At 40.6% G+C, this 15,719-nt stretch overlaps 1 protein-coding gene across 7 annotated transcripts in view, besides 1 other annotated feature; it reads left to right on the top strand.

Moving 5' to 3' along the window:
• Positions 9,485-9,734: an enhancer, noted in NCBI's record as "active region_28262". NCBI's record gives its function as "activates an Ori minimal core promoter by ATAC-STARR-seq in GM12878 lymphoblastoid cells {active_cell/tissue: GM12878}" and the evidence as "EXISTENCE:reporter gene assay evidence [ECO:0000049][PMID:35858748]".
• Positions 9,635-15,719, top strand: part of RIGI (RNA sensor RIG-I) — a 70,895-nt gene continuing 64,810 nt past the window's right edge. For all 7 annotated transcript variants that reach the window (NM_001385912.1, NM_001385913.1, NM_001385907.1 and 4 more), the window contains exon 1: positions 9,635-9,770. Coding sequence is in view for 4 of the 7 variants with exons in the window: in NM_001385913.1 (NP_001372842.1) it covers positions 9,665-9,770 (106 nt within the window). In the remaining 3 variants the exon portion in view is untranslated. The remainder of the gene's footprint in view (positions 9,771-15,719) is intronic.

Genomic DNA, 15,719 nt, shown 5'->3' with positions numbered 1-15,719 from the left:
GACAAGTAGCTCAAACCAGATATCAGAAGGGCCTGTACAAGAACAGGGACAATAAGGATCCAGAGAAGGGGCTAGATTGGAGATTTCTGAGGTACACAACACAATATTTGGGTACAATTTAAATGGAGATGGGCTGTGAAGGAGAGGGAAAAGTCTGGGATGACCAGACCTTTTTTTTTTTTCAATATGAGAGTTGGATGCATGGTGATACCAATATCCATGGCGAGAAATAGGAATAGGAATAGGAATAGTCTGGGGAGGAAAATTAGTTGTTTGAAACGAAGCAGCCTGGAGTTGTGCTATAGTAGCTGCTAGCCATATGTTGATATTAAGCACTTAAAATGCGGCTGGTAAAACCTAGGAGTTGAACTTTAAATTTTATTTGGTTTTAATTAATTTAAATAGCCACATGAGGCTAGTGGCTACCACATTCTTTATTTTTAATTTATTTATTCTTTTTAGTTGGGTTATGTTTCTAATCCACTCTTTTTTTTTTTTTTAATGTTGTAAAGGTATACAACATTCCCACCATCACAGATGAAATAGAAGATACTCATCAGGAGGAAAATTTCCAGTGGGCATCTGAAAATTGGAGTGTGAATCTTGGAGGCAAGATTGGGGCTAGAGAAATGATTTAGGAGTTGCTGTGAAACAGAGTAGTACTGAGGCTGTGGGAGGATGAGATACTCCAGAGAGGAGGTAGAGCAAGAGAAGCAGACGTAAGTGAGAATTCTAGGGAACATAATATGAAAAGTTGGCTGGCAACAGAAAAGAAACTTTCAAAAGAGGCCAAGAAGTGTTTCCCATAGTCCCACATACTTTCTTTGCCTCTTCAATTTTATGTTGTGTCTCCTGTATCTAATACAGTGCCCTCGTCACTATGGAACATAGACTTTTTGAGAGGTTAATCTTATTTTTAGGTTCTTGGGAGCACCTCACTCTTACTTTCATGTGATGATTATGTTAGAAACCGTTGCCTTGGTGGAGCAGGTTAGGCTGCCTCCAAGGAAATCTAATAGGATTTTTAGAATATAGGACTGGGAAGTACCATCTTTAGATTCTACTCTATCAGTCACTCTCCTTTGCTTTCCTTCATGTCCAGTTATGATTTTCCAGATAATGTTTTAATCACTCTCCTTGCAATACCCTCCAACTCACTTGCCCTTCTTTCTTTCATCATTTACCTACTTTAGGAGTTGGGAAACTTTTCCTCTAGGGCCATACACAGGCTGTGTCACATAATCTTTGTTTTTTTCTACACTTTTTTTCAAATTGAGGTGGAGCTTTGCTTTGTTGCCCAGCATGGTCTCAAACTCCTGGGTTCAAGCAGTCCTCCCATCTTGGCCTCCCAAAGTGCTGTGATTACAGGTGTGAGCCACCATGCCTGGCCTACAACACTTTCTAAATGTTAAAACAATTTTTAGCTTTTGGTCTGTACAAAAACAAGACACGTGCCAGATTTGGAATGCAAGCTGTAGTTGGCCTACAGTTTACCTAGCAAGATCTCAGTCTGGATGAACCCAGCTCTTCGGTTCTGCGTACGTGCATGCTGCTAAGTATTGTGAAGGAAATCAGTAACTGGTAACCGTGCAGATTGGTGTACATCAGCTTCATAAGCTGTACGACATTAGAGGGCAAGTTTTTGTAGTATTCTTGCTCATTGTATTTGACAAAATGGCTTCTTTACACCTTTTTCTCCTCAAACCTATTTCTCTCTACCACCCATATATTTTAGAGATAGGATTGAGTGACTGGCTGGGCAGTTATGATCAGCACAGGCTCAAACAGAAACCCTGCCTGTTTACCAAAACCAGTATCTGCGTCATATTAGTTCTTAGAGATACTGCCTGCCAAGACTGTCTTGACTGGCATTCTTGTGTGTCTTCAGTCAGCTTGTAGGTCGGCTGATCTAAGCCTTCACCTGGGGTTACTGGGCTCTATGTGGTTTCTCATCCTCCAGCACATTGGCCTGAGCTTGTTTACGTGATCTGACCAACTCATCTAATATAAGCAGCCCCATTACTCCTTATTCCTTTTTCTACTTTATTTCTCCTCACAGCACTTATTACTATATAACATCTACTTTTCTGTCTGTCTCCCTCACTAGAATGTGGTAAGCTCTAAAGCCATATTCTCCACTTTAGTCATGGTAATACCATTCTCCCAGTTGCTCAAACCAGATACCTGAAATTTATCCTCGATTTTTCTCATTCCTTTCCTCTGCCAGCCACTCAATCCTGTCTCTAAAATATATCTCAATTAACTTCTTACACTCTCTGCCACAGTGTCCTTATCTATGCTGCTCAGCATCTCTTACTTGAGTCACCTCCCAACTGATCTCATTCTGGCTAGGAGCCAGAGAGGTTTTTAAAAAATGTAATCAGATTATGCTATTCCTTGATTAAAACCCTGCAGTATGGCCGGGCGCGGTGGCTCACACCTGTAATCTCAGCACTTTGGGAGGCGGAGACCATCCTGGCTAACACGGTGAAACTCTGTTTCTACTAAAAATACAAAAACAAAATTAGCCTGGCATGGTGGTGGGCGCGGGAGAATGGCGTGAACCCGGGAGGCAGAGCTTGCAGTGAGCCTAGATGGCACCACTGCACTCCAGCCTGGGCAACAGAGCAAGACTCCATCTCAAAAAAAATAAACAACAACAACAACAACAACAAACCCTGCAGTATGTTCTCACTGCACTTCATTCCTTGCATTAAAGGTGCTGCTGTTTCAGCTCCACTTGCAATACCATTTACTTGTTGCTCACAGAGTTCCAGCTACAAGCATCTTGCATCTTTCACTTTTTTTAAAAAACTCTTCTGTGCATTCTGTCTCCTACCTGCTTTTTTTTTTTTTTGAGACGGGGTCTGGCTCTGTTGCCCAGACTGGAGGGCAGTGGCGTGATCTCGTGATCTCGATTCACTGCAACCCCTGTCTCCCAGGTTTAAGCAGTTCTCCTGCCTCAGCCTCCCGAGTAGCTGGGACTACAGGTGTGTGCCACCACACCCAATTTTTTGTATTTTTAGTAGGGATGGGGTTTCACCATGTTGGCCAGGCTGGTCTCAAACTCCTGACTGCAAATGATCCACCCGCCTTGGCCTCCCAAAGTGCTGGGATTACATGTATGAGCCACTGTGCCCGGCCTACCTGCTTTTTTTTGAATAGCTAATTCCTTCTCATTCTTCAGGATTCAGCTGAAATGTGACCTCCTCAGAAAGGTATTCCCTTACCACTGTACTGAAATAGTTTTCTCCATGTCACTTCACATTTGGCAGTTACTATTTGTGTTTTTACATCTTTATTGTGTCTTCTTCCTCCTTCAATCAGACTCTAAGCTCTTGACAGAGACTCTTTTCCACTTATCTCCATGTATCTAGTGTTTTTCACAGTACCTGACATACAGTAGATATTCTGTAAATGTGTTGAGTAAATTAATGCCCAGGTGAGGAGATGGTCTAAGACTGAGATTTTTTTTTTAATTTTTAATTTTTAATTTTAAGTTCTGGGGTACATCTGCAGGATGTGCAGGTTTGTTACATAGGTAAATGTGTGCCATGGTGGTTTGCTGCACCTATCAACCTATCACCTAGGTATTAGGTGATAAGATATCACCTAATCCTTCTGTGATCTTATCCTTCTGTGACACTCCCCTTCTTTCCTGGCCTTGGTCAAATTTTACCTATGAATCTGTCAAATGATTCCATTTCTGGACCTTCAGTTCTTTCAGGTATAATCTATACTGTAATTGTTGATGTTTTCTAAATCTGTTGTTATTCAGGAATACATTATTTCCCACTAGTAGCATAGAAGGAGGCATGTCTTTACCTTTTTAAAGGAATTTTGGATCTGATTTCTTTTTCTCAGCTAAAACCCAAATCCAGGTATTGGAAGAGTAGCTTGCATGAGATAATAATTATAAACATAGGCAAAACATAAGGGTATAAAGAACTTGAAGCCACTGGAGGGCAATCAAAAAGCAGAAACTGGAGGGAATTAGACCCTTGAAAGACGGAGATGACACTGTATAAGAACAGTTTCTTTGGCATTTCATCTGAGGGTCATCCCCGGTCCATAGGGAGACTAGAATGCAAGCAGAGAGCCACAGACATTGTGTCAGAAGATGGACCCTGGGGCTGCCCGAGTGACTGCATTTTGAGGGAGAAATTTCAGAAAGTAGACACAGAAAACAAGCCCTAAAATTTTTGTATAACTTTCACTCAAATCTTTACCTGACCCTGAAATGTACATGTGCAGGGAAGATTCCAAAAAGCCCATGTAAGCAATAGCTGGAAAGCTAAAAGGGCTCAATAGATACATTTCAGCCACCACCACAGGGAATATAGAACTTGGAGGTTGAATCCCACCAACTTAGATGGGCTGAGAAACATGTAGGACTTTTCACTGGAACATGCAGGGCCACAGCTTACTGTGGAAGACTATGACTCAGGACTAAGGACTTACCTTGCAAGAAGGGCAAAATTTGAAACAGACCTACCACAGTGTGTAAACAATGCCTTTGTAAGTTTAAAGTAATTCATCGGTAATTCAGTGGAATGCTAGAACAAAAAGTAATACTCTTGAGAGTAAAATAATAGAATCCAGAGATTCTATAATACATCTGTAGCATCCAGTATAAAAAAAATACTAGACATGTGAATGAACCCATAGTCAAGAGAAAAAGCCGTCACCAAAACAGGTTCCAAGATGGAATTCACAGACAAGGGCTTTAAAGACACTATTAGAAATATGTGTATGAACTTAAAGGAAAAGATGGTTTAATGAATGAACAGATAGTGGTTCTCAGCTGAGACATGAGAAGTAGAAAAAAGAAACAATGGAAATCCTGGAACTACAAAAAAAAACAAAAACAAACCTAAAATGAAAAAGTTACTGGAAGCCTTAACAAATTGGAGAAGACAGAAGTGAAATAACATTAGTTGGAAACCAGTGTTTACCAGAGGCAATGAATAGCACCAGAAATAGCAAACAGCATGGAAAAACAAAAACTAATTTTTTTCTTATTTTACTTAAAAGACAACAAGCTATAACAAGGTTTATAACATTGTATTATTGTAGTATGTATTTTATAACATATAGAAGTACAGTTTCAGACAATGATAGCAAAAAGGATGGGGTGGAATTACATGGTTGTGATGATCTTATATTTTACCTAATGTGGTACAATATTAGTTCTAAATAGATTAAGTTGAGGATACATATTATAATCCTTAGTGCAACCACTAAATACACACACACACACGTATAAAATAATATGTAGAGTGTATACAAATATATATGTGTATGTGTGTATGGAGAGAGACCTATAGCTAAAAGAATACAAAGAGTTATAGCTAAAAGAGGTTAAAGTTATATTTGATTAACGTATATCCAAGGAGTCCATTTTACTGGATGACACAGCAAAACCCTGTCTCTTAAAAAAATAAAATTATTGAATTAAAAGTTTGTTCTTTGAAAAGATGCAATTGGTAAATCCCTGGCAAGACTGATTTTTTAAAAAGGCAAAAAAGATAATAAGGTCTATCACGAACACCATATGCCAATACATTTAACAATTTAGAGGAAATGATCAAATTCCTTGTGTTAAAATATAAACTTTTCCACATTAAAATTTCAAGCTGGCCAGGCGTGGTGGCTCACACCTGTAATCCCATCACTTTGGGAGGCCAAGGTGGGTGGATTGCCTGAGCTCAGGAGTTCGAGACCACCCAGGCAACATGGTGAAACCCAGTCTCTACTAAAAAAATACAAAAAAATTAACTGGGTGTGATGGCACATGCCTCTAGTCCCAGCTACTTGGGGGCCGAGGCAGGAGAATCTCTTGAGCCCTAGAGGTGAAGGCTGCAGTGAGCCAAGATTGTGCCACTGCACTCCAGCTTGGGCTACAGAGTGAGACTCTGTCTCAAAAAAAAAAAAAAAAAAAAAAAAAAAAAAAAAAAAAATTAAGGTGTTCCAGCAGTGATTCATAAATTAAGCAGCTACAAACCAGAAATGGTCTGGGGCTCTGTTAGAGGGGGTTGAAGGGACACAGAGCAAAGAAATTGTTTCATTGGTTAAAGTTTGAGTGTTTGCCTTATTTGGACTATCCAAGTGAGAAATTTATGACAATATAACCAATGTCCCAGTTAGCCAACTGTGATTGGCTAAACTAAGTTTCATTTTCCTCATGAGGGTGTTACAGCTACATCAGTCTAATGGCCTACCAATTATTTTAACACTTGAGAAGCACAATTTATCAAAACTGATTAAAGATTAAAAGTCAGAATAGCTTTATATCTAATTGAGAAATTGAATTCATTATAAAGAATCTTCAAACAAGGAAAATGTCAAGCCCAAATGGTTTTATTAGTGAATTCTGTTAAACATTTAAGGGGAAAATGATACCAATCTGAAACAAACTCTTGCTTTATGAGACTAGCATAACTCTGATATCAAAACCTGATAAACACATTACAAGAAAATAAAATTATTGACTAATATTCCTCATGAACACAGACACAAAAGTATTTATGAAAATACTCATTTGGTCATGATATAGCATCCTTTGTATCTAAAACCAAATGAGATTTATCCCAGGAATGGTAGGTTGGGTGAACGTTCAAAAATTGATCAGTGAAATTTGGTATGTTAACAGAATATATGATCACCTCAATAAATGCAGGAAAAAACATTTGAAAAATTCAACACCCATGCATTATAAAAACTCAGCAAACTAGGAATAAAAGAGAACTTCATCAATCTGATAAAAGGTATCTAAGAAAAATTTACAGCTACCATATTATTTAAAGTGATTATTATTACATTGATGATTTCCCCACTGAAATTAGCAATAAAGTAATGGTGTCAACTGTCACCACTTTTATTCTATTTTCTATAGGAGGCTCTAGGAGGTACCATAATAAAGAAAGGAGGCAAAAAGCATGAAGACCGGAAAGAAAGAAGTAAAACTGGCTGGGCATGGTGGCTCATGTCTGTAATCCCAGCACTTTGAGAGGCCGAGATGGGCGATCGCTTGAGTTCAGGAGTTTGAGACCAGCCTGGGCATCAGGGCGAAACCCCATCTCTACAAAAAAATACAAAAATTAGCTGGGTGTAGTGGTGTGCACCTGTGGTCCTAGCTACTCAGGAGGCTGCAGTGGAAGGATCCTTGAGCCTGGGAGGTGGAGGCTGCAGCAGCCTGGTTGACAAAAGTGAGACCCTGTCTCAAAAAGAAAAACTATAATGAAAGGAAATAAAAGGCATAAAGATTGGAAAGGAAGAAGTTAAAGTATGTATTCACAAATGACATCATTATTTATCTAGAAAACTTAGAGGAATTTACAGAACAATTACTAGAACAAATAAGTGAAGTTAGCAATGTTGCATGTTTTAAGGTCAAAAAACAAAAATCACTTGTATTTCTTTTTTTGTGTGTGTGTGTGAGATGGAGTCTCACTCTGTCGCCCAGGCTGGAGTGCAGTGGTGCAATCTCGGCTCACCACACCCTCCGCTTCCTGGGTTCAAGCGATTCTCCTGCCTCAGCCTCCCGAGTAGATGGGATTACAGGCGCCCACCACCACGCCCGGCTATTTTTTGTATTTTTAGTAGAGATGAGGTTTCACCATGTTGGCCAGGCTGGTCTCGAACTCCTGACCTCAGGTGATCCACCCACCTCAGCCTCCCAAAGTGCTGGGATTACAGGTGTGAGCCACCACACCCAGCCAATCATTTGTATTTCTATACCGTAGCAACAGACAATTTGAAAATGAAATCTTAAAAACAATTCCATTGACAGTAGCATCAAATAACATAAAATAGTTCAGAATAGCCAGGTGTGATGGCCCGTGCCTGTAGTCCCAGCTACTCTGGATGGCTGAGGTAGGAGGATTGCTTGAGTCCAGGTGGATCCCTTGAGCCCAAGAGTTCAAGGCTGTAGCACACTATAATTGTGCCTGTGAATAGCCACTGCACTCCAGCTTGGGCAACATAGTGAGACTCCGTCTGTAAAATAAAATGAAACAAAACTAAAATACTGCTGAGAGAAATTATAGACCTAAGTAAATGAAAAGGCATACCATGCTTATGGATTAGAAGACTCAATATTGTTAAGATGTCACTTCTCCCCAAGTTTATCTGTAGGTTCAATGCAATCTTGATCAAAATCCCCATAAACTTTTTTTGGGGGAAGGAAGGGGTAATTGACAAGTTGATTCTTATTTCATATGGAAATGCACAGGGATTCAAGGTTGCAGTGACCCCTGTTTGCACCACTGCACTCCAGCCTGGGAGACAGAGTGAGACCTTGTCTCAAAAAAGAAATTAAAAAAAAAAAAAAAAAAGGAATGCAAAGAATCTCAAATAGCTAATATCTTCACAGTGAAAAACAAATTTGGAGAACTTAGTAGTACTTGATTTTGAGACTTAGTTGAAATCTAAAGTAACCTAGAGACAATGGTATTGTCAAAGTAGTAGGAAGTAGAATATAACAAGAGTCAGAAATAGACACATATACATTCAATGGACTTGGTTTTTTTACAAAGGTCCCAAGGCTATCCAATGCCAAAAGGAAAAGTTTTCAACAAACGGTGCTGAAACAATTAGAAATATGGAAAAAGTGAACCTGGACCCCCCATCTCACGCCACAACAAAATTATTTTGAGATAGTAATAGACCCAGAAGTAAAGGCTAAAAATATAAATCTAAAAGGAAACAATATTTTCATGACCTTGGGGTAGGCAAAGATTTATTAAAGAGGACACAAAAAACAACAAACAGAAGAAAAACCTGAAAATTGCATCAATATAAGTGTCTGCTCCTCAAAAGACACCTTTAAGAAAATGAAATGGTAAGCCACAGACTGGAAGAAGATATTTCGAATACATATATTTAACAATTTTGTATCCTGAATAAATAACTCCTGTAAATCCATAAACCAAAAAACTCCAAAGTCAGGCAAAAGATTGGAGCAGATGCTTCACAAAAGATATATGAATGACCCAGTAAGCACATGCAAATGTGCCCACCATTAATTATATGGGAAATTAAAATTAAAACCACAATAATATACCATTTCACACCGACCAAGATGGAAGTTAAAATTAAAAAAAAAAAAGAAAGGCTGACCAATGTGTCTATCTACTGGAGCTCTCCTACTGCGGGTGGGAATGTAAACTGGATGTAATCAGTCATTTTGGACAACAGGTGGCGGTTTCCTATAAAGCTAAACATAGACTTACCCTGGCACCCAGCCGACGTGGGAGAACTGGGTACACAGGTGTACACTTTACAAAACTCATCGAATTGCACACTCAGATTGTGTGCATTTTACTGTGTCTAAACGTTAGCGCTATAAAAGCAAAACAAAATATAAGATCATAAAAATAAAAGCAATTCCTAGGGGTCCTCTCCGTTCCCGGGCTTCCTCGGTGCGGAGGGAAACGAAACTAGCCCGAGGCAAAACAGCCTCCGCGAACCCCGCCCGCCGCTAGTTGCACTTTCGATTTTCCCTTTAGTTATTAAAGTTCCTATGCAGCTCCGCCTCGCGTCCGGCCTCATTTCCTCGGAAAATCCCTGCTTTCCCCGCTCGCCACGCCCTCCTCCTACCCGGCTTTAAAGCTAGTGAGGCACAGCCTGCGGGGAACGTAGCTAGCTGCAAGCAGAGGCCGGCATGACCACCGAGCAGCGACGCAGCCTGCAAGCCTTCCAGGATTATATCCGGAAGACCCTGGACCCTACCTACATCCTGAGCTACATGGCCCCCTGGTTTAGGGAGGGTGAGTGTCTCCAGCGGCGCCTTCTCGGCGGAAAACAATTGAGGACTTGTTTTTCTCTTGCTTCGTTCCCTTCTTTTAATCAATGCAGAGAGCCTGCCAGACTCCCCAGGTTTGTGGTAAGATCTCCGCAGCATTTTAGGCTAGAGGTTGCCAGAGTTTGAGGAGCCCTCGGAGGCCTAGGTGGGGAAACTGAGTTCCAGCGAGGTGAAGTGACTTGCTTAAGGGTGCTCATCTATTTAGGTTCAAAGCTGGGGAAGAAATTTTGTTTCATTTATTTTCACTAATATTAAAGTCTACTGTGTGCTTGGCTGGGTACTGACAGAGATTGAGAAATAAGATAAGGGCTCTTCCTTAGTATACATTACAGTCCAAGGGATGGGACACAAAGGGCAGATAATTACAGTACTGAGCACAAAGTGCGGTCTGAGCTTAAAGGAAGTTGATGCTTACTCTGCCGAATCTTATTTGCACGCCTAAAGAAGTGGAAGCTGGAGAGGAGCCGGACTTTTCCAGACCGAATAGCTTTAGGCTTTAATACAGGTGTTTCCATCTAACTTCGGAGACAGGTGATCCTGGGTAATGACCATTTTGTAAATTTGTATCGAATTACTTTGTGCTGGAGATGAGCAGAGGCTTCTGGGAAAGAGGTGAAAGGAGGTGGTACTTAAAAGATATCGATGAGGCCGGGCGTGGTCCCTCACGCTGTAATCCCAGCTGTAGAGCACCCGATGCTGTTGCTGTTCGGGGTGCCACTATGTAACCCGCACGGACCTAGGGGACTGAACAAAGAGGGGCGAACGCGGGAATAAAAGACAAGAGACAAAAGAGTATATCTGGAAGAAGGGGTCAGGGGGCACCTTGCCTCTAGTGGACAAGGGCCCTGAGCTTTACACAGCCCTTCTTATTAGGCAAAAGAGATAGCGAGAAGGGGAGGTGCTTGTTGGCTGGCTGCTTGATTCACAGCAGGCTTGCAAGACTGCATTCTTTGAACAATAGGTGCTAGATTTCTCAATAAATAATTTCAAGGAGCCTGGCGCCAGGGAGTGAGGCGCTCAGCAAACCATTTGGTGGCAAGGCAGTGTGAGTTTGCCCAGGTGCTGCATTCATGATAAACAGTTTGCTGTTTGATCATATAGCCTCCAGCGGAATGCTGAGTTGGTCACATCCCAAGGGCCTTCGGCTCCCTGCAGCCAGCACTTTGGGAGGCCTAGGCGGGTGGATCACAAGGTCAGGAGTTCGAGACCAGCTTGGCCAATATGGTGAAACCCCGTCTCTACCGAAAAATACAAAATTAGCCAGGCGTAGTGGTGCACTCCTGTAGTCCCAGCTACTCAGGAGGCTGAGGAATGAAAATCGCTTGAACCAGGGAGGCAGAGGTTATGGTGAGATCGCACCACTGCACTCAGCCTGGGTGACATCGTGAGACTCTTGTCTCCAAAAAAAAAAAAAAAAAAAAAAAAAAAACCGAAAAACAAAAAAAAGTCGATGAGAGGGGGCCTGGGAATCCTAAAAGTCTCCAAGTGCCAGTCTTTCCTGATGTTATTGCAGTTTTTGGAAATGGCGTTAAGACCGGCAACTAACTTGAATGCTAATTGCTCTACAAAACTAAAAGAAAGGTTGTGGAATGGCATTCTAGTGACCAGTGTAGCTTGGCACCTGAAGAAGTACTTGGAAGAAACACTAACAACTGGTGTGAATTCCATTTTTTCATGCACTCATATATTGATTTGATACACTTTGATGGAATAAAATAAGCAACTCGTGTCAGTATTATGTTAGCATTGGAGGTAATTTACTCAGCACCTATTACCTAATAGTGTCATTGAAAGTTGAGGAAGCAATGATGAGCACAGTAGAAACTGTCCCTGCCCTAATAGTGATTAGTGTGTCTATGTGAATGCAGGTAACAAAATAGTAAATAATAAAGTGCAGCAGTGCTTTGATGGAAAAAAGCTGGGATGTCTACTAGAGTCCAAAGGGCACAGCCAAAGCTTCCCAGATATTTGGCATTTGAACTGAGGTCTAAAGAAAGAGGAAAAATTAGCTGGAAGGAGACAATAAATTGCAGTTAGAGGGCTCCTTATGTGCAAAGGTCCAAGGTGAAAGAGAAACTAGAGTGTTCCAGGTATCCAGAAAATATTAGTATGGTGGCATTGTGGAGAGAGAGGCAGGAGTTCAGAGAGATGAAACTTGACAGGCAAGCAGAAGTGGGATATGAACAGTTTTGGACTTTATCCACTGAAATGTGATAAGGAGAGGGGACCAAAATAGAATTTGCATTGTAGAAAAACGACTTTGACTTCAGTTTGAGGAATGGCTTGAATAGGTACAAGACAGGGAGAGAGAGAATGGCAGATGCAATGATGCCAGGACAGCAGAGTGGAAAAACTGGAAGCAAGGATACCAGTTAGGAAAATAGGAATCCGGAGGAATGGGGAGAAATGGATGGATTCAAGACACATTTGGAAAGTATAATCAATAGGTCTCTTGGGGAGTTGTGGTGAGGAGGTAAGGGTGAGGACAGGGTGGAAATGACTTCCAGGTCTCTGGCTTTGGTCCTTGGGTGAATAAATGGTAGTTTCTGAGATAGGAAATGTGGGAAGAGGGACAGGTTTGCAGGAGGAGGAGAAAAATTCGGATTTAGGTATGCTGGGTTTGTATGCCTTGGATACATCCATGAAGAGATGTTCATCAGATTGTTGGCTGCACAGGTGTGGAGTTCAGGAAAAGGGTCCACAGTTGGGGAGACATTAATGTGGAGATCCTTGCTGAAACAATGAGAGTGGGTGCAATTGTTACTGAAACACCAGGGATTCAGCCTAGGTTCTTTTGCTGGCTGCACATAAAGCCAATCACTGAGACAACAAGTTTTGCCAAGGCTTTAATTGGGAGCTGCAGCAAAGGAGGTAGGAGATCAGTCTCAAATCCATCTCCCTGACCCGTTGAAATTAGGGGTATGGATAGAAGGAAAGAAATATAACTAGGTGTTGGAAAATGGACTCTGGAGGGGTAAGGAAGCAATCATGATAAATGAGGGGCCTGGTGTCTCATTGTCTGGATGTGATGGTCTGATGAGTTTCAGTTCTTTTATACCTTTTGAGAGGCCTGGGGGTCCTTTTCCTGGGGAAGGAACTCAGATAAAACAAATATAAGTTTCAGCTTTAAGATCAGGAGGGTCAATTTCCATGTTTATTCGAAAGAATTGTATATGGGACTATTGTGTTGGTTTCAGTCCCCCTCTTTCTATTTATCAATTCCTGGATCATGGGGAATCTGATCCTCAATCTTTCTGGCAGCTTCATGCTGAGGAATGGCGTGGTGGGCAGTTCCATACTATGGGTGACCACGTGGCCATCCAGGAATCAAAAGTTAATCTAATACTATAGTTTTCTTCTGAGACACAATCTGTATCATTACTGTTCCCCGCTTCCACCAAAGACATATCACAGCTGGATGGGCCTACCTGCAAAATAAGCCTCAGTTACATATACTTGGCTTATTTACCCACACAAAGTGCAGCAAAAATTATTGTCCATATGGGCTCTCCTAATTGGCTTTGCTGGAACCTCTCACAAGGCCATTTCAGTCAAAGCCCTGGGAAAATAACTTGTTCCTCCAACTGTGTCCCCTTATAAAAGAAAACAGATTTTTATTAAATGTATGCAAGAAAACACATTGCCATGAACTAAGAATATTCACAAATAGTTTATAAATTCTGGAGAAATTAGGGAGAGAGAAAATGCCTCAAATTCTGTTTAAAAGGGTATACTCTACTTAATATACTGTATTCTTAAAGGTTATGAAGAGCTTAAAAGAAAAAATTCTCCAGATTCCAAAAAACAAAAATTCTCCAGACTTTTTCAAACAAAACCATAAAAAATTATTTCAGTCCCACATTAGTTCAGTCCATGCAATCAACTCCTGCTGTGTTTCATATTGGGTTAGTAATCTTTATAAACATGTCAGCCTTTTAATTAAGAGGGACTCTAATTAAGAGTCCTAGAAGTTTTCTGTATTCCAGTGGCACAGTCTCCAAAGTTATCAGAAATCTGCATTCAAGACTCCTTTTCATGAAGTCCCCTAAATAAACAAGCTCTGGACTATATCTGATTATAAGTCACTTTTTGAAAAGAATCAATGCAAAACAACAATTGCAATGACAAAAGTCTTAGGAGAGCCATAAAGACACAGTTGACAAGGAAATTTTTTTTTCTGTTGGCATACAACAATTTAACATAATAATCATCATTACTGACACCATATATTAAGACATATCAGAATTTTAGGAATCTCATATAGTCCTGCAACACATATTAATAGCACATCTATACAAATATAACCCAAAGGAAGTTAAATACCACCTCACATTTGATAATGCTGCCTGTATAATTCTAATATACCAAAGAAGCCTAACATGTCTGTCTGTATTGGAATTCAAGGAAGCTAATACACAAAAAAGTTAGTTTGAGGTTAAAAAAAACCCCCTGAATTTAGAACTTGAAATATTTGCTGTTGGGAAGTCTGTCAGTATCAAAGATTTAAGACACTTGATATCACAAAATAGGATCACAGGTCGCTACAAAATAGTTATTCATTTAGCCAAAAAGATAAAACAAACACATTTACCCTTTGATAGGCGACTCAGTTTCCCAACAATAAGGCCTAATAAAGACAGCATGAGGCCAACTAAATGTCTCTCCCTCTTCCTTTTCTTCCCCCCACAGTTCACTCAAAAGGTAAACAAATATTTTATGTCAATATTATACAAACATTTTATTCAAAAGAGAACATCAAATTTTACCTTTGTATGGTATATTTTTAATGTTAAAGCTAATTTTAATAAAACCTTATAAGCCGAATTTTAATCAGTTTGACTATAAGATAGGATTTCTGTGAAGTTTTTTTTTTTTTTTTTTTTTTTGAGATGGTGTCTGGCTCTGTTGCCCAGGCTACAGTGGTGCGATCTTGGCTCACTGCAACCTCTGCCTCCTGGGTTCAAGCAATTCTCCTGCCTCAACCTCCCTAGTAGCTGGGATTACAGGCCATGCCACCACACTTGGCTAATTTTTGTATTTTTAGTAGAGACGGGGTTTCACCATGTTGGCCAGGCTGGTCTCCAACTCGTGGCCTCAGCTGATCCGCCTGCCTCGGCCTCCCAAAGTGCTGGGATTACAGGCGTGAGCCACCACACCCGGCCTGAGTCACCAGCCCCGGCCTGAGCCACCACGCCCAGCCTGAGCCACCACACCCAGCCATCTTTTTATAACGTTTTACGATTTCCTATTAAAGAGTAGAGTAATGCTCCAAGAAAACCCTGTTATGACACAGGGGCCCAGACATTGGCCTTGCATCAGTGTGCTTTTGATGTTAATGTTTAATTTATAGAAAAACCCTGAACTAATTTTATAACTCAAAATCAGCCCTTACAAGCTCACGTGCTCACCTTTTGTGCAATAGTTCCTGGGCGTAGAGGGATTGAATGGTTTTAATTTCTAGCCCTATGTCTCATGAAAGCAGTTCATTTTGATTGTCACCTTCTCCTGAGTCTGAAGACGAGGCTTCATTTGGTGTCAGTGCTCAAGATTTAGCAGGTATTGGTGTCTTTTTTGGATCCAGGAGTCAAAGGCCTTTGAATTACTAAATAATTGTTTCCTAAGAATTATTTAATAGCATATTTATACTGCAGGAAACCTCATCATTCTCTCTAATATGTCACAAAATAAAACCCTGGGATTTGGTGCCTAGTAGTTACTGTCTGAAACACTTCAACCCATTATACAATCCATTGTATTAAAGTGGTTAGGTTACTCCTTGCATTTATCTGCTAGCATTCTAGTGACAAAACTGTGACCTAGAGCCTCAAAAATGTGGTAAGTCCTGTGCCAAACTTACCAAAGTAAGATAGTTAACTTTTCTTTCCATCATTAAAAAAAAAAATGGTAAATGCAA

The sequence above is a fragment of the Homo sapiens genome, chromosome 9 (assembly GCF_000001405.40).
Source record: "Homo sapiens chromosome 9, GRCh38.p14 Primary Assembly".
Taxonomy (NCBI): domain Eukaryota; kingdom Metazoa; phylum Chordata; class Mammalia; order Primates; family Hominidae; genus Homo; species Homo sapiens.
This window is presented reverse-complemented; position numbering and strand designations above follow the sequence as displayed.